This window comes from Homo sapiens, chromosome 6, assembly GCF_000001405.40.
Source record: "Homo sapiens chromosome 6, GRCh38.p14 Primary Assembly".
NCBI classification, from domain to species: domain Eukaryota; kingdom Metazoa; phylum Chordata; class Mammalia; order Primates; family Hominidae; genus Homo; species Homo sapiens.
This window is the reverse complement of record NC_000006.12, coordinates 37,550,878-37,573,080: the sequence shown is the minus strand read 5'-3', so window position 1 is coordinate 37,573,080 and position 22,203 is coordinate 37,550,878. Positions and strand designations below refer to the sequence as shown.

The window sequence follows — 22,203 nt, the reverse complement described above, 5'->3', positions numbered from 1 at the left end:
TGATAGGCATAAAAGCTTGCTCAATGTTAGATTATATTAAAAGAAATAAAACTGCTGGACCAAAGTAGGTGATAGTCCCTATGTGGTAAGAACCCAGCTCACACGTTGTGTTTTGTTCTGGGCATCATATAAGAAGTACCTGGCAGGCCGGGCGTGGTGGCTCATGCCTGTAATCCTAGCACTTTCGGAGGCCGAGGCAGGCAGATTGCTTTAGCCCAGGAGTTCAAGACCAGCCTGGGCAACATGGGGAAACCCTGTCTCTACAAAAAATACAAAAATTAGCTGGGTGTGGTGGCCCAGGCCTGTAGTCCCAGCTACTTGGGAGGCTGAGGTGGGAGGATCACCTGAACCCAGGAGGTCGAGGCTGCAGTAAGTTGAGATCATGCCACTGCACTCCTGCCTAGGCCACAGAGTGAGACCCTGTCTCAAAATAAAGAAAGAAAGAAAAGAAAAGAAACAGAAGAGAATCATTCCCAGAAGGCTCCCTGTCTCCAGCAGTGTTCCCCCCTGCATCTCATTGGCTGGAACTGGGTCACATGCCCACCCTTGAACCAATCACTAGTAAAGGTAGACGGGAGTACCTTGGTTGATTTAAGCCAATAGTTTCATCTCCTGAGGCCAGAGTATTGGTCCTCTTCATAGAGCATGCTAAGGCAGAAGGAGGGATGGCGCTAGATTGGTAACTAGGTAGGTAATCAGCTATATCAGCCAAAAGTTTTGTTCCTTTCTTCCAGGAAGTTCCGGGCATCTCACAGGGACCGAGGGATGTCCTGCAGCTGTGCTCAGGGCACTAGAACCAGCGGAGACCCTGGGTGGGCAACAGCTCCCCTGGCCCACCAGCCTCTCTGCACCCCATGATCTCCTCTCTCAGGCCAAGCATTGCTTCTCTCCACTCTGCCTACTCATGGCCTCTCCTCCCCAAAGCTTCAGCGTCTCCAGCCCTTCTCAGCCTGTGTCAGGGCAAAGCCTGCCACCATCAGCAACTTTCCTCTGGAATCCTTCATTCAAACTCTCAAAAGAGGAAACCCAATTGCCTAGTCTATGTGCTCAGGTCACAGGTCTGAACTGGCTGTCTTGGGGTCAGGGGCCACCCTTCCTCTGGCAGCTGAGGCTGGGAGGTGCGACGGTGAGCACAGATGGTGCAAGGGCAGCAGGGGCTGGATGGAGGTGGGAGGACGTTTTTATGAGGGCCAATGCAAGGTCAGAGGAGGGCAAATGAAGCCAGGCAATGTGATGGGACAGAATTGACCCAGATGTGAATATCAACATGATGAAAGCAGGGTGCTATGGTCTGAATGTCTGTATGCCCCCCTAAATTCATACGTCGAGAGCTAATCGCCAGTGTGATAGTATTAGAAGGGGGGGGGTCTTTGGGAGATGATTAGCTCATGAGGGCAGAGCGCTTATAAATGGGATTAGTACCCTTATAAAAGAGACCCCAGAGAGCTAGCTAGCCCCTTCTTCCAGTTGGGGACATAGCTAGAAGGTGCCATCTATGAGGAAGAGGGCCCTCACCAGACATCAAATTTGCTGGCGCCTTAATCTTGAACTTCCCAGCATCCAAGACTGTGAGAAATAAATTTCTGTTGCTTATTGAGCTACCCAGTTTATGGGATTTTTATTATAGCAGCCTTACAGACTAAGCCACAGGATGTGTTCACGCATTTGACAGATGATAATTCAGTGCAAGATTGAGGCGAAACCTCTCCTGAGTGGCATCTTGTGGTGCCCCATGGGCTGGCACTGAAGACAAGAGACCCTTCTATCCTTCTTCCCCGCTCTTCTCGGACAGGCTCAGGAACCACGACTAGTACAAAGTACATTCTGGGTGGGGATGTGGTGGATGCTCTTGGGGCTCGCCCACACCCCCTTACCAGGCCCCAAAATCGGCATCTGCTGCTAACAGCTCACAGCAGCCCCCTTTTCTAGAGAACTGCTCTCAGCCACCTTGCCCTGATTCTGGAGAGGCTCCGCTCCTCCCCGACCCCGGCTCCTGGCAGCCGGTGACTGCCTGATGCGGGGAATAAGAAGCCGCCCTCTTGCCTCCAGGGGCCGACTCTGTGATGCTGTCCATGGTCCAGAGCCTCCCGCCGGCTCAGGCCTCGTCCTCGCTCAGCTTGCCCCCGGCCTATCCTGACCCCTTCACTCTTACACAATAAGAGGCACACTGAGAGACAATAAGTCACTTGCAAAGAATTCCCGTGGCAGGCTCTGCTCGAAGGGAGAAGTTAGACAAGGTGACAGCTAAGTCTTGTCCACGCTGAGATCCAGGAGCCTGGGATTCTCTTCCATATCACAGGAGCTCTCCAGGGGCGAGCACAGGGAGTGCAGGAACCCATCTCCTCCATCTTCCTGGTTCGTCAGTCACTCCGTAGACATTCTTAGAGTACTCACAATGTGCTGGGCTCAGTAAAGGGTTAAGAGGCACAAGACACGGCCTCTGATTTCAGAGGCTTAAAGATGTTTAGTGAGGCAGGTGGAGCCTATAAAAAGGGAAGCAGGCGGCATACGCCAAGGCCCGGAGCTGGCCCCAGCAGACGGGAGGAAACGCAGCAGTCAGGAAGGGCTCCCAAGAGAGCTGCGAGGTGAGTGCACGGGACCTCAGAGAGGATTAAAACTTTGATAAAGGAGGAATGATCTAGGGCTCAGCTGGCCCAATGCATAGGCCGTCTGGTCAAAGAGGAACTCTCTGTAGAGAAGCGAGGAGATAAGGTGGAGGCGGCAGGTTGCTGCCTGGGGGTACCAGAAGGGACAAGAGTGGAGGATGAGATCAAGGTTCGGAGCCAGAGTGATTGGGAGAAGGAAGCTCAGAATGGGGAGCCCCTGGGTCTTGCCCATTTGTCATCTCCACCTCCTTCCCCAGAAAGCTTTGCACAGTACTGGGCACATAGTAGGTGTTTTGTGTTTGCTGAACAGGACTCCTACCCATAGGGGTCCCCTCCTCCTCTGTCTCTTCCCTGGATCCAGGCTCCTCTGAGCAGGAGCAGGGGCTGTGGAATGGGAATGGGGATAGTGGGTGGAGCCTTCTAGGTCAGCATGACCTGGTCCTCAGAGGATCCGGAAAAGAGAAGGCCCTCCCTGTCCAACCCAGCAGGGATTTAATTAGAAGAGCTAATTAGTGGACCGGGAGTGGGAGATGGAGGCACTGGCGCCTGTGTGCGTGCAGGAGCGTGCGAGCTGAGGATAATTTCAGGCTCACTTTCCGCAGGGAATGAAGCTGTGGGGAGGGGGCTGCTGTGAGTAGGAAAACAGCCAGGGCCCGCATGCTGGCCTGGCTCTGCCCCTCCATCAGCGCCAGCAGACTGGGGCTCCAGGGGCACACCCATGCTAACATCCATGCTCACATGCTCACCCTTATAGTCACACACTCATGCACATGCACACATTGACATGTACCCAATTCATACACTTCCACTCTCACACCTTTACACATAGTCACACACTCACACAGACATCCGCATACAACCACATCACCCAGTTATGTGCTCACATACACACTCAGTCACAGACACATTCACACACTCCTATGCCTGCATTCACACACATGCTCACAATGACTCACACACATTCATGCACTTACACACTCATACACAGGGTCAGTGGTGAACTCACACACTTGCCTACATGCTCACACATATACTCATGCACTCACATACATTCACACACACACTGACATACACACGCATGTGTGGGGGCAGCAGTTTTGAACTCCAGGGCTCCACACCCACGCCGATCCCTCTTAACTGTGCTAGAATGCTCATCTCAGGTCTACCCCAGGGCCATGAACAGAACCCTGCACCATACAAACCCCAGCCCTCTGCTCTCACCCTCAGCCCCTCCACAATGTCCTCTCCCACCCTGTGGCTTTTTTCAAAGGAAAAGAAACTTCTCAAAGTGGATGCCACAGTCTCCCTTGCTTCTGTGGCCAGCACATCCTGGCAGAGGGAAGTTCTTCCTGCCAGCTACCGTCAGGCCAGTCCAGTTCTCCAGGACAGAGAATGTTCTCACCTGACAGCCCGTGCCCTAGAATAGCCCCATAGCCACACTCTGGGGCCTTAGATCTAGATGACTCTGAGTGACCTTGGGCAAGTTACCAAACCTCTCTGAGCCTCAGTCTTCTCGTCTGTAAAATGAGCATAACAACATTATGTGAGGTTGTGTAAGGAATATGTGAAGTTATATGTGTAACCTGTTTAGCACAGAGCCCAGTGTGCATATGTGCTCAGTAAGTTCAACACTTATCATCCTGGGGGCCAAACCCAACACTCGCAGCTCCCACTCCCCAGCCAGGGCTCAGTTTTGCCCTCTGGGCCTGGCTCCCTCTTCCCTGCCTTCCTCATCTCAGAATAAGAAGACAGGTTATTAGTACAAATTTGATCAAAATGACACATGGATTAGCATGTACGCTGCAAAGTCTAATTCTGTTTACTGTTCTAGGGGAGCATGCAATTATGACAGGAGCTGGGACAGAGTGTTTTTAATAACATTTCTTGTTAAGATTTAATTACAGGAAATTGTATTTTCTTAATCACTGAAAACTCAACTGGCTAGGAAAAGAATCGTGATAATTTTGTTTGCAGTTTATTAAATCCTTAGGATATTCTTTCTCTTACATTTGCTTTTATTATATGCTGCTGCTAAGTGCTTTTTAACCCTTGGAGCTGTGAAGAGGGAGGCCTGCCAGCCCCTGCCTCTCCTGTCCCAGGCCTTCCACTCCTGGCAAACTCGGATGCCAATAACCCCAGAAACCAAGGCAACTTAGGAAGCAGAGTTGTTTGGTTTCCTGTCCAGTAGGAAGAACAGGTGTGTTCTCCTCCTTGTCTGAAGTTAGTGGGCTGAGAAACCATCCCCAGAATACCTGGCCCTCACATCAGCCTCCCCTGGAAACACAGCCCTGAGGTGTCCCCTTGCCCAGAACCTTTGAGGAAAGTTGCAAAAGTGACAGCATCTTTCATAGGCCCATTCAGGAGTCTGGAGCTAAGGGCAGTGCCCTGAGGATAAGGTGGCACTGCTGGAGCTATCTGACCCCTGCCGGGTCTCTTTTGGACAGGGCAGAACTGTGAGTGAAGTTTCCGCCCTGTATCTGGCCTCATACAAGGCCTCCTTCCTGCTGGCTGTTGTGCTAATAATTGGGATACAGAAATGGACACGACAGAGCCATGCCCAGTGTGTCCCCAGGCCCTTCTGCTTTTGTGCGAGCATGAGCAGGGCATGGGGAGAGAAGGGGGCCGTGGAGAGAGGTTTCCACTCAGGAAACGGGATGTGGGGAAACCAGAGGCACAAAGGAGCCACGGTCTACCAGTTCCTCCAGGAAACCGTGCTCAGGGGAAACTATACAATATCAGCAACAACATGAGGAGTGATGCTTAGAAAAGCAACACGAGACACCAACCCCACAAGGGATTTGTGCTGCCGTGGCTAAGTAAGAATTCCTCAGTCAAAGGAAAGCGTTTCTGACTGCAAATTTCTGTGATCCCAGAAATGCATGCGTGCATGAGCGCGCACGGAAGTGTATGTGTGTGTGTGTGTGTGTGTGTGCGCGTGTGCACATGGTGGTGGGGGCCTTCTTGGCCTCAGTCTACAGCTCCATCTCCATCTTTACCTGGCCCCATGACTCGCTAAGCCTGGACCATCTCCATACAGACACTGCAGCCACAAGCAGCCTTTCCTCCAAAGAGCACCACCTTTTCGGCCAACAAGTACCACTTGTGTCTCTCCTGCTGCAAATCAAACTCAGGTCCTCTTGATCTTTTGGGAGGTGGGGGAAGAGGGACAATGAGATAATGAATGGAATTCTCAGCAAAACAGCTTCATCTGACACATCTCTGGGTCTTTCCACTCTCTTTTCAACTCTGAGCCCCTAGCTCTCTTAACCATCCCCCAGTGGCCTCTCTGTTCCTTCCACGTCCCTTTGATCTCTTTGTTCTCTGGGGCTGGGGAAAGCAGGCCTGACAGCGTTAACCCTGATGGCAGAGTGCAGGACATCAAAGAGGCTGCAAGAGAGGTTATGGATAATAGATAGGTGGAAGCATGAATGATACATATGCAGATAAATGATGGATAATGGGGCCCGCATGATGTATAGGTGGCTGCCAGAGTAATAGATGGGTAGGTACATATAGATTGATGGAGGGAGAGAGTTTCAGAGACAACAGACACAGGGGCAGCTGGAAGGACTGATTCCGGAGTTCTGATAGATGCATCGCTACTAAATAGGCAAGGAGAGGAGAGGCAGGACAGGCACCTAATGAGATAAGACAGAGGGATGTACGCCAAGAGGGGTTCCTGGGCACAAGGGGCTAGAGGAAAAGTAACCGTCAATGGATGGACACCCAGAGGCTTCCACTGACCACTGACAGTGTCCCTGGTAGGTGGCAGGATGGAGGGGGTAAGCTGAAGGAGCCCCGGTGCGTGGATGGGTGATGGATGTGTGGAGAGATGAGGAATGGCTGGGCCCATTGATCAGGGTCCTCACTTCCCTGACCTCCCTCTGCCCAGGGCTGGGCTTCCAGGCCCCTGGGTGCAGCCGGGGCGGTGGCGTGCTGCTCTGATGGTGGCCGCGCGGGGGCGCCCACAGCCGGGGCATGGCGCAGAGGGGCGAGGAGGGGGTGCAGGCTGCAGCCTGTCCGGCACCCTCCTAGAGTTTGTTTCCATGACAGCGGAGCCCACGTGACCCCTCCCCACTCCCCTTCTCTCTTTCCCTTCCTAAATAAAGTCCCTGGTTGAAAACTGCTCCCCAAGGAAGGGCAGAAAAAAGGCTTCTTGCTGGGCTGCTTTGCCTAGCATCGGAGCAAGTCTTTGAAGCCCGGCCGCCTCCCAGAGCTGCAGGAGCCAGTGTGCGCCTTCTCCGTCACTCCCTCTGCTTGTCCCTCTTGCCCTGTTTTAAATCGTTTCCCTGTCACCACCCACCGCCCCCAATCCTCAGGGTCTTCCCGACGCCAGCTTCTTTCCAGAGCCAGCTGGTATGGAGCGGAGAGACGGGGAGGGAAGCTATTATTCTGGAAAGGGCAAGGCTAACTCCTGGAAGCATGGGGGCTGGGCGGGGTGGCGGGTGCTGGAGCAGATAAGACCCTCTCTCAGAGGAAGCTGCTGCTGCTCCCAGCAGCCCTCCAAGGGACCTGCCCAGCCCAGCTGGGGTGAGGGGCCTGTCGCAGCCTGACACAGCTCGGCAGCCCCTCCCCAGCCCCCGCCATAGGCAGATGCACCCCTCCCTCAGCTCCAGCTCAGCTCCATCTCCCAGGCAGGTGGCGCACAGCTGCGGAGGAGACAGCAGGAGCACAAGCCCCGGCAGCAGCAGCCTCAGGGAGGGCTGGGGTCTGGAGGTGGAGCTGTCACGACAGGAACAAAAGATCTCTTGCTTAAGCCCAAGGTTTCATTGTGTCCACTGGAAGCCAGACACACAGACTCAAGCCCTCCAACGGAGACAGGCGCTGCTGCCTCAGAGATTTGCCTTCACAGTTCTTTTTAGTAACCACTTATTACCCTACCCCAGGGCCTCTGGAAACAGAAAATCAGATAGCCCAGCCAGAGAGGCACAGAGAGGTGAAGTGACTAGCTCAGCACACCAGTCTGGCAGCTGCAAGGCTGTAGCCACCATCAGACCCAGGGGATTCTCAGTCCTGAAGAGTTAGGGAAAACAGCAAGGAAGGAGGAACGCAAGGCATGCAGAGAAGGTAGTGTAAGTGTTGTGGGGAGGGGGTGTTTTTTAGGTACCGGATTCCCCTCCAAACAATGGCCAAGTCCCGTCCTCTGCTTCACATACCGGATTCCCCTTGAGATTAAAAACAAACAAACCAAAAATAAAACCTGGCTACTGTGCCTCTGTCTGGAAGAAGTGACACCACTTTAAGAAGCAGTGAAAGTTGTCCAGGATTGGCCAGTGGTTGGAGGGGGCAGAGAGAGAATTCCAAGCAGAAGGGACAGTGTAGCAAAGGCAGAGAGGCACGGAGTGTGAGGGGAGTGGAGACAGCTCTATAGTCCCAGGGCGAAGGTGCAAGAGAAAGAGGCAGGGCTCAGATCATAGCGTCTTGTTCACCATCCAACAAGCTTGCAACAGGGAGCCACTGAAGAGTTTTGAGCAGGGGAGTCACCAGTTCAGATTTGTAATGTGGAGATGTATTGGAGTGGGTGTCAGAGACTGGGATGTCAGTTAGGAAGCTTCTGCCACAGTCCAGGGAGGGGAACACGGGGTGGGATGATGGGGAACCAACCATGTCAGAGTAGTAAGGATTGGGTTGGGGGAAAGGGAGAGTCAATAAATATTCTGGACATCCAAGCATCAGCACCCAAAAGGATGAAGACAGAGTGAGCAAAATCACAGTCAAGGCCGACTTCTGGGTACCTGGCCTGGGTGTGGGTGAACTGCAGTGCCACCCTCTGAAAGGTTACATGGGAGGAGGAGCAGGCTTAGGGGAAGAAGCCCAGTTTGGAACACGCTGCGTTTGAGGTACCTGAGGGTGTCCATATCGACTTCCAGGAGGTAATTGAATATTCTGTCCTGAGCTCCACAGGTGAAGGCTGGACTAGCAATGTACACAGTGGCGGAAATCCCAAGGGCTATAGAGGCGACTGCCCAGGAGAGAGAATAGAGCAAGGGCCTAGGTCAGAGAAAGACGAAGAAGGAACTGTCAGAGAGAGAAGGAAGCTGGTGGAGCACTGTGTCGCGGTGGGGTCAGGATAGAGGGGCTCTTGAAGGAGGGAGGCCGATCAGATACAGCAGAAAGCACCAATGAGAAAAACACAGGTGTTTCCCACGGATTTGGTGCTGGACCCTCTATTAACAATTCCAGTCTGGCAGTAAACTCAAGGTATATTTAAACTGAGTGATTCAAAGAGAGTTTAATGAAGGTTTAGGCCAGGTGCAAAGGTGTGGGCAGGGTGCAGGGACATCAGCAGGAGATGCTGAAGCCCCAGGGCTTGGAACAGGGGAGCTGGGCCCAAAGGGACATGGACAGAGCCATGGGGAGGGCCTGCTGGACGGGAGCTGTAACCTTGTGTGGAGAGACACAGCAAAGAGCCAGCCCCCTGAAGTCCCGCAGGGAGCACATCAGGAAAATAAAGATCTTGGCTTCACTCTCCTCTCTCTGATCTTCTGTGAGGCTCTCCCTTTGTTGGCCCTCCCTGGCACAGGGAGCCTGGGCCATGCTGGTCACAGAGGTCGGCCTGGGAGCACAGTGCTGGTGGAGGAGGATTCCAAGACAGAGAAGCCTGCCTAGTCATTGGCAGCTTATCAAGAGCATATTCAGGGCTTGGAGGTCACAGAAGCTTTGCTGTTGAGAACTCAGAATAGGACAGACAGGAGAGGATATGAAGACTTGGATGCCTGGGACCCAGGGAGAGTGTTTTTTGTTTTGTTTGTTTTGTTAGAGACAGGATCTCACTATGTTGCCCAGGCTGGAGTGCAGTGGCACAATCATAATCATAGCTCACTGTAGCCTCAAACGCCTGGGCCCAAGCGAGCCTCCTGCCTCAGCCTCCCAAGTAGCTGAGATTATAGGTGCAAGCCACTGTGCCTGGCGAGGGAGAACTTTTTTAGGATAGGAAGTATTTGAGTAGATTTTGACACAGGAAAAGGAATGCAGACACACTGGAGGAAAGGGAGGTGAGAGTTGGAGGCCGGCTGAGGAGGAGGCGGGTGGGGGTGTGGGGGCAGTGGAGGGCTCTCTGGGAGGAGGGACAGAAGGGACTTGATTGGGAGGACAGAGGCCCATCCTCTGCTTCCTCCCGAAAAGGCTGCAGAACAGCCTAAAGCCAGGGGGTGGGTCTTTCAGGCCCAGAAAGGGGAGTGTCTCTCTGCCAAGGACCAGGGCAACGGTCCAAAACAGAGACACACAGCCCAGCCCAGGCCTGAGTGGTGGCTGGAGGGTATGGAGGTGTGAGAAAAGACCCCCATAGTCAGAGAGAAGATTCAGAAGCAGTTTCTGGAATGGACTGGGATCCCACCACTGGGGCCGTCCCAAATCTCCCTTAGCCAGTTTGAGGAACTGAAGCTCACATTCAGCCCAGGTAGCAATTAGAAAAGCTGCTCTTCTCCCTTTTTTTTTTTTTGAGAAGGAGTCTCGCTCTATCGCCCAGGCTGGAGTGCAGTGGCAGGATCTCAGCTCACTGCAACCTCCACCTCCTGGGTTCAAGTGATTCTCCTGCCTCAGCCTCTAGAGTAGCTGGGACTACAGGCACACGCCACCACACCTGGCTAAACTTTTTGTATTTTTAGTAGAGACAGGGTTTCACCATGTTGGCCAGGCTAGTCTCGAACTCCTGAGCTCAAGTGATCTGCCTACTTCGGACTCCCAAAGTGCTGGGATTACAGGCGTGAGCCACCACGCCTATCCAGAAGAGCTGCTTTCTAAAGCACGTACTAGAGGAGTCTCTTACCAGGATGATTTAGCAACCACAGCATCTATGGAGAACTTCAGTATGTGCCAGTGACGAAAGCTTTATACAGATTAACTTCAATGTCATGAAAAATCTCATGGAGCAGCTATTATTATTATTAGTCCCATTTTATAGATTAGAAAACTGAGGCTCTATAAGATTGTATGTTTACATGGGGTCCCACAGCCAGTCAGAAGTGCCAGGATTCCCACCCAGGCCTGCCTGACCCCCAGCACCCTCCTAGAACCACCCCAGGTTGGGAGGGGTAGGGGAGAGCTGGCCTGGGACATTCTCACCTAATAGAAGTCCCAGAAAGCCCCAACCCAGGCTTTCTGCAGTTGTTTCTGCTTGAGTGGAATTCCCATTGCGTTGTTTTACCGCCCTCTGTAAAAGTTACCATTGAAGGACAAAAGACTCGGTGAAAATCTAAAGGGGATTTCTGCTTCTGTTTCTGAACCAGAAGAAAAAGAAGTAGTGAAACCAGGTGCTTCTTGGCTGATCAGCCTGGGAAGAGAGAATTATTAATAACCAGGACCATTTCAGTTGCCAGTAACAAAAACCCAATTCACATTGGTTTAGGAAATCATAATAGCCGATGTCAGCTGCTCACTATATACTAGGCACTGTTCTGAGCACTAATGTGAATCCGTTCATTTAATTCTCAGAAGTATGCTGTGAAATTTACACTAGTATCATCACAGAGGAGACAGAGGCACAGGGATTAAATAAGGTGCTCACATCACTTAGCAAGATTGCAGCCCAGGCTGCTGGGCTCCAAACTTTGGCTAAGGGAGATTTGGGACGGCCCCAGTGGTGGGATCCCAGTCCATTCCAGAAACTGCTTCTGAATCTTCTCTCTGACTATGGGGGTCTCTTCTCACACCTCCATACCCTCCAGCCACCACTCAGGCCTGGGCTGGGCTGTGTGTCTCTGTTTTGGACTGTTGCCCTGGTCCTTGGCAGAGAGACACTCCCCTTTCTGGGCCTGAAAGACCCACCCCCTGGCTTTAGGCTGTTCTGCAGCCTTTTCGGGAGGAAGCAGAGGATGGGCCTCTGTCCTCCCGATCAAGTCCCTTCTGTCCCTCCTCCCAGAGACAAGTCCACCACAGCCTTGGAGAGCAAGCAAACACACTGGCCCATGTCATTATTGAGACCAGGTGGCACTGGATCTAAAACATCTTGTTCCTTTCTCTCAGCTCTGCTTCTTTCGGCCTGGCCACTCATCCCTCCATGGCAAGGACAGCTGCACATCTCACCCCTTCCTGTGTCTATCACCCCAAAGGGAAGGTGCGCTCCACTTCCCTGCTTGCTCCAGCAGCAAAATCCTGGGGAAGGTGTCTGAGTGGTCTGGCCCTGGCCACACACCTAACCCAGAACCAGTCACTCTGCCTGGGGCTAGGAGAGAGGGAAATTGTGCCAGGCAGCCAAAAGCAGTAGCCACCCCAGGAACACTCAGGGAAGAGGGTAGCAGCTGCCAGGAAGAAGAGAAGACGTGGAGATTAAAGCTGGGCGGGTGGTTAGGAGGCAAGCGGGACCCAAGATCTGGCCCTTTGTGTGTCTACCTCAAACAGGAGGTAAGACAGCAGCAGAGGGAAACTTTCCTTCTTCACCATTTGCTGGGTGTGGACCAAAAATACCAAGACTTGTATTCACACACACAACCTCTAAACACACGTGCTTCTATATGTATTAAATAAATATTGGCACATACACATGCTTAAACACACATCCCTGGACACTTTACACTCCATACAGACACCTACACAATCACAGGCATGTATACTGCATCAGTCAGGATAGGCAAGGCTATGCTTCATTAACAAATAACTCCAAAACCTCTACTGCTTAAAACCAAAGGGCTTGCTTCTTGCTCACGCGACATGCCAGTCACAGCTTCTGCACATCATATCACCCCAAGGCCCAGACTGATGGAGAAGCCACTAGCTCAAAGCTTGCTGGTCATAGTGCCAGAGGGAAAGAAAGACCTCTGGAAGATGTTGCATTGGCAATTACATTCTTCTGCCGGGAAGTGACACTTTCTCTTCTGCCCATTGGCCAGAACTGGTCATATGGCCCCATCCAACCACAAGGGGGCCAGGGAGTGCAATTCGGAAGAGGAGACCCAGAAATATTTAGCAAATAGCACTAGCGACTAGTGAGTAGGGCGCGCGCGTGCGCACGCACACACACACACACACACACACACACACACACACACACTTACTGCTCTTCCCACGGTCTCCTTATTTTATCCTTTTGTGTCCTGGACTCCTAAACAATTCCCTGTCCCTAGTAATCAGGGTGGAAAGTCTCCTGCCAGGAGCCAGAGGTTGTGGAAACTTACATCCCCCTTCATTTCAGTCCTGTCGGCTGCCCTGAGTCTCCCCGTCTCACTCTGGGCCCCATCATCCATCTCCCTCCCTGCCCATTCGTCTGAGCCTCCCCTGCCCCAGCTTCTGCCTCCTGCCAAGAAGAGATAAAAGAGACAGCTGCGTATTTATTCAGTGCTACTTCTACTTCTCACTGCTGCCCCACCACTTGCTTCAAGCTCCCCGCTAGCATCCTCCTCCCTTTCTTCTTTCTACGATTGCCTGAAGAGCTAAGCGTGAGCTAGTGGCACCCAGAGAGGTGGCTGCTACGGGGGAAGGGAGGAATGAGGGGAGGGGGGACCTCAGGGCCCTTGGGGGTGACAGGAGAAGGCAGACATGAACAAAAACTCAGAGAGGGCATGAGATGTAGAATAACACTCACAAGCGGACAGAGACAGAAAAGAAACACAAAATGTGGCAGAGAGAAGCAGAGACGCAGCGAGGGACAGAGGCAGATGGAAAGAGACACAGATTGACAGAGACAGAAATAAGTGGAACAGAGACACAGAGACTGGGCCAGAGGAATGAATGCAGAAAGAGAAAAGATGGAAGGTAGAAGTGGGGATGTGTTTAGGGTGTGTGTGTATGTTGCTGTACAGCTCTGGTTTTTAAGCCCCGCTTTCACTGAAATGGATTCATGAAGGCAGGTGCTGTGCTATCTTTAAAGATAGGGAGAGGATGTGGCACTTTTGAAGCCAGTGGTGCAGGTTTAAGGCCAGGCCATAAGCTCAGGGCGCTGGCAGGGTTTCCCTGGAGATCTCTGGTGCCAAGTGGTCAGCTCCACAGCATTAGCTCTGTGGTCGGAGGAGGCTGCAGGTCTGAGCTGTGAATGCTTCCTCAGTGGCCTCAGCCACACTTCTGCTCCAGCTCCAGCTCTGCCTGCAGCAAAGGGACCCTAGGAGAAAGGGGAGAGGGGCGGAAGCAGTCCCTGCCCTGTGCAGGGGATGAAGGGGGCCCAGGCTGAAAACGGAGGTAGATTCCTATCTTTAAGGAGCCCTGAGTCTGAGCAGAGGTTTGAGCCTCATTCATTCCTTCAACACATGGTCCTGGTACCCTACCCTGTGCCAGGCCCCAAGACACAGTGGAAGACAAAAGCCATGTGCCCTGTAGGTTTTAGCCTAATGGAGGAGACAGACCACAAACAAACCACAATTATATAACAACAAACCAGGTTCGGTGCTACAAAGTAAAAGGGCGTCATCGTGGGAGAATCTTGGCGGTGGGGGCTTCTTTACACTCAGGAAAGTCTCTCCAAGTAGGTGATACTGTGGCCAAGACCTTCCAGATGAGAAAGAGCCAGGTAAGAGGAAAAGTGGGGGTGGCATGGGGTGGGGAGTGGGGACACCAGCCCAGGTGGCAAAAACAGCCCAATTCATAAAGCGACACCCAGCTTGGGCACTACTCCAAGGTGAGCCCGCGGCGTCGGAGTGGGTCAGCCGGCTGTTCAGGAGCTGGCAGGGCAAGCCTCCATGGACTGTGGGCTTGATTTTAGGGACAATGGTGAGAGACACGAGTGGTGTCCACGCACTCATGCTGGGCACCTACGGTGTGCCGGCCCGAGCTGGGGGCGGGAGGCTAGCTCAGTTGTTGGGATAGAAGTAAGAAGACCTCGGGGCAGAGGAAACCAACGAATCTGATCAGGTCACTCCTTGGGTTAACTCCCTCAGCAGCTCCCACCACCCTCAGGATAAAGGCCAGACCCCTCAGCAGGGAGGCAAGGCCCTCTCACCCTGTCTGTTCCCCATCTCCTCCCTCTGGCCCTTCCATGTGTGGGACTCAATGCTCCCTCCAGGGCCTTGCAGTGGCTGTGCCGTCTGTCTGAAACACCCTCCCCACCGCTGTCTCCTCCATTTACTGAACACCTAGCCATCCTTCAAGACTTAGCTCCATGCTCCCTCTTCTTAGTGAGGTTTTTGCTGAGCCCGGCCCCTCCCCAGTGAAACTGGCCATTCTCCTTTGGGCCTCACAGTACCACATGTACCAGAATACTTCACGGCCCTTGTCTGTCTGTTTCCTGCATGAGGTCCCTTAGAGCAGAGGCTATGCTGCTGGCTTAGAATCTTCAGGTGAATCACTCACCTGTGCTGCTCAGGTAGCTGATTAGAGGCAGAAGAGTTGTTCCAATGTCCACCCCCTCAACACCGCCTCAGGATAATTGGAGCTGAGCCCTCGCCTTGTCAAAAGAAGAGTACAGGGACCAGAGTCTGGGAGATTAGCCTAAGAAATGTTTTGAGGCAATTAATGCCACTCAGAGTTCAGAAGGAAGGGCAGGGTCATGGTTTGGTGGCAGAGGATCGGGAGCTTCAAGTTGGGAGAGGGTGGGCTCAGGGGTAGAGAGTGTGCTGAGGACTCAGGGTGATGAGGCAGGGACTGGGAGAGAAGATCAGGGGAGGAAAGCTGCCGCCCACTCTGCCATCAGGTACCAATGACTCAGGGCAGAGTCCATCTGGGGAGGGCCAGCGTGAGAGTCGGGCTAATCCCAGGAAAGTGAATCTGCCACAGAGAGATTTTTATCCGATTTGCCATGGTCTCCCTCCAGGGACTTCATGTTCTGCTAAGACAGAGGCAAAGAGAAAGCTCACCCCTGGAGATGACCTCTTTGAGTCTCTGGCTGTGCTTCTATTCGGAGGAAGACATAGGCGTCTGTGCCACAGCATCCCCTAGGGAGGACCTGGAGCGGGCTGCAGGGAACAGAGCTGAGAAGTCAGGGAGAGGTAGGGAAAGGTCAGGGGAAGCAAGGCAGAGGTTAAGGGAGGCCTTGGGAGAAGGCAGGGTCACAGAAACCATGAAAATGCAGGAGGCCCCAGCCCAGCACCATGGGGAGGCTGCACAAGGAGGCCCACAGAGCCCCCGGAAGACAAAAGCCAGGGTCAGAGAGGATGTGGGGCCGAGGCTAACTGCACTGACGGATGGTAGCTTCTCTTTCCCCGGGTGCTCCTGAGGGAAAGGGGGATTTCTAAAGTCCCATGTGGCTTGGGTCCCCATACACTAATCCACAGAGGATCGTATGACTAAGCAAGACCTCCTGGGCCACCAGAGCGTCCTGTCAGCATCCACTGAGGTGGGGACTGCGCTTGGCACCTGGAAAGAAGGCCCCAGTCTGCCCTGAGCCTGATGGCCAAGATGGTCGCATCTGGCCCACCGTGGAGTCAGGGCAAGGGCCTAGGTCAGAGGGAACGGGACGCCCTCCCTCCAGATCATGAGGCCTGGACAGCCGGACGGGGATCAAGACAGTTGCCAGGGAGGGATGGAAAAAAGAAGAGGTAAAGCCACTGCTGTAAGAGGCTAGCCCCATCTCAGTGGCTCAGCCTGTGAAAGTTCATTTCCTGCTCAGTCACAGTCCAGCGCCAGCACTGCTGTCAGGGTGGCCTCCCCTGGCTCCCTCCCTCCTCTGGCTCTGCCCCCTTGAAGACCTCTGACTTCTCCTTGTGCAGCCGCCAGACAGGGAAAGACCAATTCTTCATCCTTCCATCTGAAAGCAGCACACCACGCCTTGCACAGAGTCCATAGGGGAGAACTAGAAATTCGGCCCCACATATACACAAAGGGTTCTGAAAAATGGGGTTCCTGGCTGGGCAGCTACTTCTCAGCCAGACACTCCACACCGAGGAAAGAGGAGCCTGGATTTGTAACGGACTGTGGGCCAGGTCTGCCTCCGGTACCAGCATCCACTGTATACCTCTTCTGGGCTGGGCTTCTCATCTTTGCAGCCACTGTTGAAAATGAAAGACAGCTATTTTTTATGTTTTATGTTTTTGGGGATAGAGTTTCGCTCTTGTCACCGAGGCTGGAGTGCAGTGGCACAGTCTCAGTTTACTGCAACCTCCGCCTCCCGGGTTCAAGCGATTCTCCTGCGTCAGCCTCCCGAGTAGCTGGGATTACAGGCACTCGCCACCACACCCAGCTAATTTTTGTATTGTTAGTAGAGACGGGGTTTCACCATGTTAGCCAGGATGGTCTCGATCTCTTGACCACGTGATCCACCCGCCTCGGCCTCCCTAAGTGCTGGGATTACAGGTGTGAGCCACCGCGCCCAGCCAGGGCTTTTCTTGATGTTAAAAGTTCTCGAGAAGAAGGAGACTTCCAGGACTTTCCAGGGTCCCATACTCATTTGAGAGTGCTGAGATTACAGGCGTGAGCCACCACGCCAGGCCTAGACCCATTTTACACGTGAGAAACGGAAGAAGCTCAGAGATGTCCAGACTCAGCCGGCGGTGGCACAGCTGGCTGTGAAGCTGGGTGCTCGCAGGCCAAGGCCACGTCACTTTCTCTTCCCAGCTCACCGGGTTGTTTCTCTAGAAAATGCCCGAGAGATGGAGACAGACAAAAAGGAGGAAGTAGGGGCGTGGTGAGGGAGAGAAAGAAAAGACAGGGGAGAGAGGACAAGCCAGAGAGAGGCACAAATGGAAAGAGAAAATCTCAGAGCCTCACAGTAGTGAAGCTTGAGATGAGAAAGAACGGTGACTCCGTCTCCCCACCCACCCCACCTTCTCCTGCAAAAATGACTTGTCTCCCAGGGAGGGCCACTGGGCATCCCCGTTCCACACCCCTGCTGGCTTCAGGGCCAACCCTAGGTCACCTCCCCTGAGCTCCCCCTGCTTGGTCTCACCTCTTTGTGGGAAGGTCTGGCTTTAAATGTGCCCCAGATACCCAAGTTCAAATCCAGCCTCTGCACTTACTACTGACAGACCTTGAGCGATTGAGGAGCTCAGTGAAGATGCGGTGGGTGAATGAAAGCACTTTGTAAACCCCAGCAAGAGATGGTTCTGGGTTGCCTGTTCTCAGGGGCGAGATGGGGAGCAGCTCAGGGAGCATGAAGGGGATGGCGGCGTGAAGCCCTGCTGGCTTCCTGCCCTAGACAGTGCCCCGAGGGAGGGACGGGAAGATATAAATAAGACACGTAAAGGCCTCTGTGCTTCCCAGCTGCCCTAAGTCAGGAGTGGCTTTCCTGACACGGAGGGTGGCTTGGGAAATGAAAAGTGAATGGGTTGCTAAAATGTTTTACTTCCCCGGTGTTGTTGGTGGGGCTTTAATGAGGAGCCATGCATCACTTGGCCCCCTCGCCCCGGCAGATGATAAAGGGCCACCGCTCCCCGCGGGCCTCAGAACAACCCACCACTGCCTGGCTTGTAAATTGTTATGGCCCAATGAAGAGCTTGCCCTTAAATGTCACTCACCCAGGAATTAAGGTGAAGACAGGCACAGGGACTTGCCAGTGGCACGGCCCAAGGTGGGGGCTAGCAGGAGTGGGCCCTGCAGGATGGGGTGAGGGGCAGACTCCTCGGGAAGGGCAGTTGGATACCAGGTCTGGGGTTAATGAAAAGTGCCCCCTGCCCCCTAAGTGATCATTATCTCCAGTAATTATCCTTGCTCCTGGGGGGAAGCAGGGAGGGGCGCACTGAAGAGCTGTCATTAGAATGGACTGGCTAAAGAATCCAGACCTGGCGCACTGGCCTGGGGTCCTCAGCCTCTCTCCCCCTCTCTCTTCCCCATTCCATCTCCCCGCCACCCCACCTGTCTTCCTCCCCACCTCCACCTCTCTCCCCCCTCCCTGCCAATCTTTCTCTCTCAACCCAGTTGCCTGCATGGTTCACAGGTTTCTCTTTGCCCTGTGGACCCCAGGGTAGATTGAGAAGGAATCTTAATGAGTCTGACTCAGGCCGGCATCACGCAGGCTGCCCCGCTGTCTAGCTTCATTTTCTAACTTTGGGGGCACGGAAAGGTCGGCTTCCACCTCTTCCCTGGAGGCCCTTCTCTAGAAGAAGGTAGAACTTCAGGTGCCTTCCAGGAAGAAAGTGAGCTTTAGGTGCTTCCCAAGCGTGACCCTCTTCCCTCTCCTGTAACCTTTTAGCATTGTGGAATAAATCTCACGTCCAGAAAAGGGCATGAAACAAATGTTTCATTAACACATTATTTCAAAGCAGAGTAGCCACCACCTCAGTCACAGACCAGAACCTCACCAGCACCCAGCAGCTTGCGGATCCCTTCCCGTTGACCTTCTCTTCCCCAGAGGTCCCAGGCAGTCGCTTCCTACCTTTCTCTGTGTGTTCCCTCAACAACGTGCTTCAGTTTTCCCTGTTTCTGAACTTTATATAAATAGAGTCCTGCAGGATGCGGTGGCTCATGCCTGTAATCCCAACACTTTAGGGGGCCAAGGTGGGTGGATCACGAGGTCAGGAGTTTGAGACCAGCCTCACCAACACAGTGAAACCCCGTCTCTACTAAAAATACAAAAATTAGCCAGGTGTGGTGGCACGCACCTGTAGTCCCAGCTACTCGTGAGGCTGAGGCAGGAGAATCGCTTGAACCCAGGAGGCGGAGGTTGCAGTGAGCCGAGATTGCACCATTGAACTCCAGCCTGGGAGACAGAGCGAAAAAAAAAAAAAAAAATAGAGTCCCATGTACGCATTCTTTCGTATCTGGCTTCTTTCAGCCAGCCTGGAGGTGTTTGTGTGACTCATCTCTGTGGCTCGGGTAGTCACAGTTCATTCATTCTCATTGTCCTAGAGAGCTTGTCACTGTCTGCATGCTACAGCCCTGCCACCCATCTCCCCAGCCCACATGTCACCAGCTGCAGCATCTTCAAGTTTTGGGGCTCCTGTGCAGGAGGGATGTGACTGATCCTTCCTGCCAGGAAATTCCCCTTAGGTCTAACCTCTTTCTCCCTCACCCACACTTTGCTGGTTTGCTGCCTCTGATGAAGTCAGGGGAGAGGAAAGATACAGCAAAAATAACACATCAATAGCATTTGCAAGGCATTTTTCAAGTATGAAGCACTTCTTAATACACTAATTAAGTGAGATGGTCATTATCATCCTGTTCTAAGCATTTTATATTTTTAACTCATTTAACCCTCAGAACCACCTTTGAAGTAGGTGCTATTATTATCCCTATTTTATAGACATGGGAACTGAGAAGTTAAAGAATTTGTCCAAGGTAGGGTTGCCAGATAAAATACAGAATGAGCAGTTACATTTGAATTTCAGATAAGCAAGGAATTTTTTAAAGCATAAATATATCCCAAACACTGCATATTAAATTCAAATGGGCATCTTATATTTTTGACTTCCTGAATCTAGCAACCCTAGTCCAAGGTCACAGTGCAAGTAACAGTAAAGCCAAGATTCAGACCCCAGCTCCTACCCCACAGCCTTGTGCCCTTAGCCACTGCTCTCCTGTTACAGTGGGACCACACTAAGGCCCTGGCGTCCAGGGAGAAAAGCAGATGCATTTGAAACTGTTGAGTAAATCAAACAAGCAAGGCTAGGAAACAGATTTGCTATGGAGGCTAAAGGAGAGGGAGGAATTAAGAAAGGAGTTCAGGCCGGGCACAGTGGCTCACGCCTGTAATCCCAGCACTTTGGGAGGCCGAGGCAGGTGGATCACCCGAAGTTGGGAGTTTGAGACCACCCTGACCAACATGGAGAAACCCCATCTCTACTAAAAATACAAAAATTAGCCGGGCATAGTGGCGCATGCCTGTAATCCCAGCTACTCGGGAGGCTGAGGCAGGAGAATCACTTGAACCTTGGAGGTGGAAGTTGCCGTGAGCCGAGATCGTGCCATTGCACTCCAGCCTGGGCAACAAGAGTGAAACTCTGTCAGAAAGGAAGGAAGGAAGGAAGGGAGGGAGGGAGGGAGGGAGGGATGGAGGGAGGGAGGGAAGAGAGGTCAGTTTCTGGCTCCAGTAGGCAAGATTCAGACAGGAGGCTTCTTGCTAGGAATCGCCCAGCTCAGAGGAGACAGGGCATCTCCCAAGGCTGGGTCACCTGGGGGCTGGTGGCCAACCCCTCCAATCCTCATTCTCCATCTGGTCTGAAGGGATTTGGCTCAGCCCTGCCTGGCTCAGATACTTCAATCCTTCCATTTCTCACATGGCCCCAATCTCCAGCCTCAAAATTCATAAACAAACCACCTCATCCAACTGCTAGGCTCTCACCAGGGCCTGCCCTCTACCCTCCGTGGGCCCTGTGCCAGGGCGAATTGCCCTCTTTGGATGGGATGCAACCGAAAAGCCTCCCAACTGTAAAAATCACAAAATGTTTGGGATGGTGTCAGAGGCTGCAAATGTGGATACGTGCTTTTATTTTGCATAGAATAATGCATTTAATTACTTCTTCCAGGGGAAGCCTGTTTGGAAGATAGTTGAAGGCAATGCTAATAATAGCACTTTGCACCGAGGGCCTCAAACGTAGAGGAAGAGCCATGAGAGCATTTCATTTCTGTTCCTGAGAACTTGAAAGCTCCTGCAAACACTTGCGCCTTCTTCCTCAAGAGGCAGAGGGAAATGTGAAGAAAATGCTGCGGGTTTTCGCTTTTAACTCGCTGTTTTGATCCTCTGCAGCCGCTAGGATATCGGACTCCCAGAGAGACTGGGCGGGGTAGAGGGTGGTTATTGTCTGGTGGAAAGAGTGTGGAACTGGGGGACACAACTTTTCTTCTCCTTCCTTCTACCATACCCCAAAGGGCAGGGCCAGAGGGAGCCCCCCAAAAATGCCTGCCCTGGCTGAGGCTGTTTTATGCACAGAGCACTGCACAGTGAATCAGGATAATCTATTTTGCCAATTTGGTAAATTATGCTCCTTCTCTGGCCTTGGTCCTGCCCTAGGGTGTTAGGCAAATTGCTTAACTGCCCCGAGCCTTGTGTTCCTCATCTGTAAAATGGGCTCATAATGATACCTGCATAGAGGCATGCTATGAGGGTTAGATGAGTCAGATCATATGAATGGGCTTAGAACAGCGTCTGACCCACAGGAAGAGCTCCATAACAATAACAATTATTAGTTTCTGAGCAATGAGGAGTTTTGAACCAGATCAGGGACCAAGGAGATAAGGGTGCGAAGGGTGTAAGGAGACCTGGTGTGAGGCTTTAGGGAGCAGAGCCAGCTGTGGAACCCGGAGACAGCAGCCTGTGTAAACAAATTCAAATGTAAATTCTAAAAATGCTCTGCAAGCCAAACACAGTGGGTCTGTGGAGTGTGCAGAGCTCTGGGACCAGCAGTTTCAATGGGCTGAGCTTTATGGCTCCTTCTACCATGACAAATCTCTGTTATTTAAGTTCAGGCTCTACCACTCAAATATGGAACCAGCAGTGCCTTAGAGCCCTTCAAGTCCAACCAACCCCTTCACCCATTCTACAGGTGAGGAAACTGAGACCCATAGAGGGGAAGTGGCTGTTCCCCATGCAGGGCACTGTCCCACACGGCCTCCTAGCTTGCTGCTGTGTGCTCTTGGGGAAGTGGCTCCGGGCTGAGTTTTGCCTTTGCTTTGCACCCCTCCGGGCTGGGTTTTGCCTTTCCCAGAGAAGGAAGACCTTGGATTGGATGCCAACAAAATGTGGTGAAATAAGGATGAGTTTAGGAGCCAGAGAGGCCTGGATTTAAATCGTGGCTAAAACCTGGGCAGGATCTCTAGCCCCCAAGCCTTATCCCCATCGCCTCTATAGGGCTTGGTCTGTGGA

At 52.7% G+C, this 22,203-nt stretch overlaps 1 non-coding gene across 1 annotated transcript, besides 13 other annotated features; it reads left to right on the top strand.

Annotated features, from left to right (window-relative positions):
- Positions 6,440-6,599: a silencer, noted in NCBI's record as "silent region_17142". NCBI's record gives its function as "represses an Ori minimal core promoter by ATAC-STARR-seq in GM12878 lymphoblastoid cells {active_cell/tissue: GM12878}" and the evidence as "EXISTENCE:reporter gene assay evidence [ECO:0000049][PMID:35858748]".
- Positions 6,730-6,879: an enhancer, noted in NCBI's record as "active region_24476". NCBI's record gives its function as "activates an Ori minimal core promoter by ATAC-STARR-seq in GM12878 lymphoblastoid cells {active_cell/tissue: GM12878}" and the evidence as "EXISTENCE:reporter gene assay evidence [ECO:0000049][PMID:35858748]".
- Positions 10,388-10,567: an enhancer, noted in NCBI's record as "active region_24475". NCBI's record gives its function as "activates an Ori minimal core promoter by ATAC-STARR-seq in GM12878 lymphoblastoid cells {active_cell/tissue: GM12878}" and the evidence as "EXISTENCE:reporter gene assay evidence [ECO:0000049][PMID:35858748]".
- Positions 10,708-10,917: an enhancer, noted in NCBI's record as "active region_24474". NCBI's record gives its function as "activates an Ori minimal core promoter by ATAC-STARR-seq in GM12878 lymphoblastoid cells {active_cell/tissue: GM12878}" and the evidence as "EXISTENCE:reporter gene assay evidence [ECO:0000049][PMID:35858748]".
- Positions 11,238-11,407: an enhancer, noted in NCBI's record as "active region_24473". NCBI's record gives its function as "activates an Ori minimal core promoter by ATAC-STARR-seq in GM12878 lymphoblastoid cells {active_cell/tissue: GM12878}" and the evidence as "EXISTENCE:reporter gene assay evidence [ECO:0000049][PMID:35858748]".
- Positions 15,753-15,962: an enhancer, noted in NCBI's record as "active region_24472". NCBI's record gives its function as "activates an Ori minimal core promoter by ATAC-STARR-seq in GM12878 lymphoblastoid cells {active_cell/tissue: GM12878}" and the evidence as "EXISTENCE:reporter gene assay evidence [ECO:0000049][PMID:35858748]".
- Positions 16,173-16,272: an enhancer, noted in NCBI's record as "active region_24471". NCBI's record gives its function as "activates an Ori minimal core promoter by ATAC-STARR-seq in GM12878 lymphoblastoid cells {active_cell/tissue: GM12878}" and the evidence as "EXISTENCE:reporter gene assay evidence [ECO:0000049][PMID:35858748]".
- Positions 16,383-16,432: an enhancer, noted in NCBI's record as "active region_24470". NCBI's record gives its function as "activates an Ori minimal core promoter by ATAC-STARR-seq in GM12878 lymphoblastoid cells {active_cell/tissue: GM12878}" and the evidence as "EXISTENCE:reporter gene assay evidence [ECO:0000049][PMID:35858748]".
- Positions 16,983-17,072: an enhancer, noted in NCBI's record as "active region_24469". NCBI's record gives its function as "activates an Ori minimal core promoter by ATAC-STARR-seq in GM12878 lymphoblastoid cells {active_cell/tissue: GM12878}" and the evidence as "EXISTENCE:reporter gene assay evidence [ECO:0000049][PMID:35858748]".
- Positions 17,659-17,716, top strand: MIR4462 (microRNA 4462). Its single transcript, NR_039669.1, has one exon. It is a non-coding gene; the product is annotated as a microRNA 4462 (primary transcript).
- Positions 18,699-19,199: an enhancer, noted in NCBI's record as "H3K27ac hESC enhancer chr6:37521658-37522158 (GRCh37/hg19 assembly coordinates)". NCBI's record gives its function as "activates a minimal SCP1, AML or CMV promoter by ChIP-STARR-seq in primed H9 embryonic stem cells {active_cell/tissue: H9 hESC(primed)}" and the evidence as "EXISTENCE:reporter gene assay evidence [ECO:0000049][PMID:30033119]".
- Positions 18,699-19,348: a biological region, named in NCBI's record as "Sharpr-MPRA regulatory region 3834".
- Positions 19,054-19,348: a silencer, noted in NCBI's record as "tiled region #3834; HepG2 Repressive DNase matched - State 20:ReprD, and K562 Repressive DNase unmatched - State 20:ReprD". NCBI's record gives its function as "represses a minimal TATA promoter and a strong SV40 promoter by Sharpr-MPRA in HepG2 and K562 cells {active_cell/tissue: HepG2 | K562}" and the evidence as "EXISTENCE:reporter gene assay evidence [ECO:0000049][PMID:27701403]".
- Positions 21,772-21,951: an enhancer, noted in NCBI's record as "active region_24468". NCBI's record gives its function as "activates an Ori minimal core promoter by ATAC-STARR-seq in GM12878 lymphoblastoid cells {active_cell/tissue: GM12878}" and the evidence as "EXISTENCE:reporter gene assay evidence [ECO:0000049][PMID:35858748]".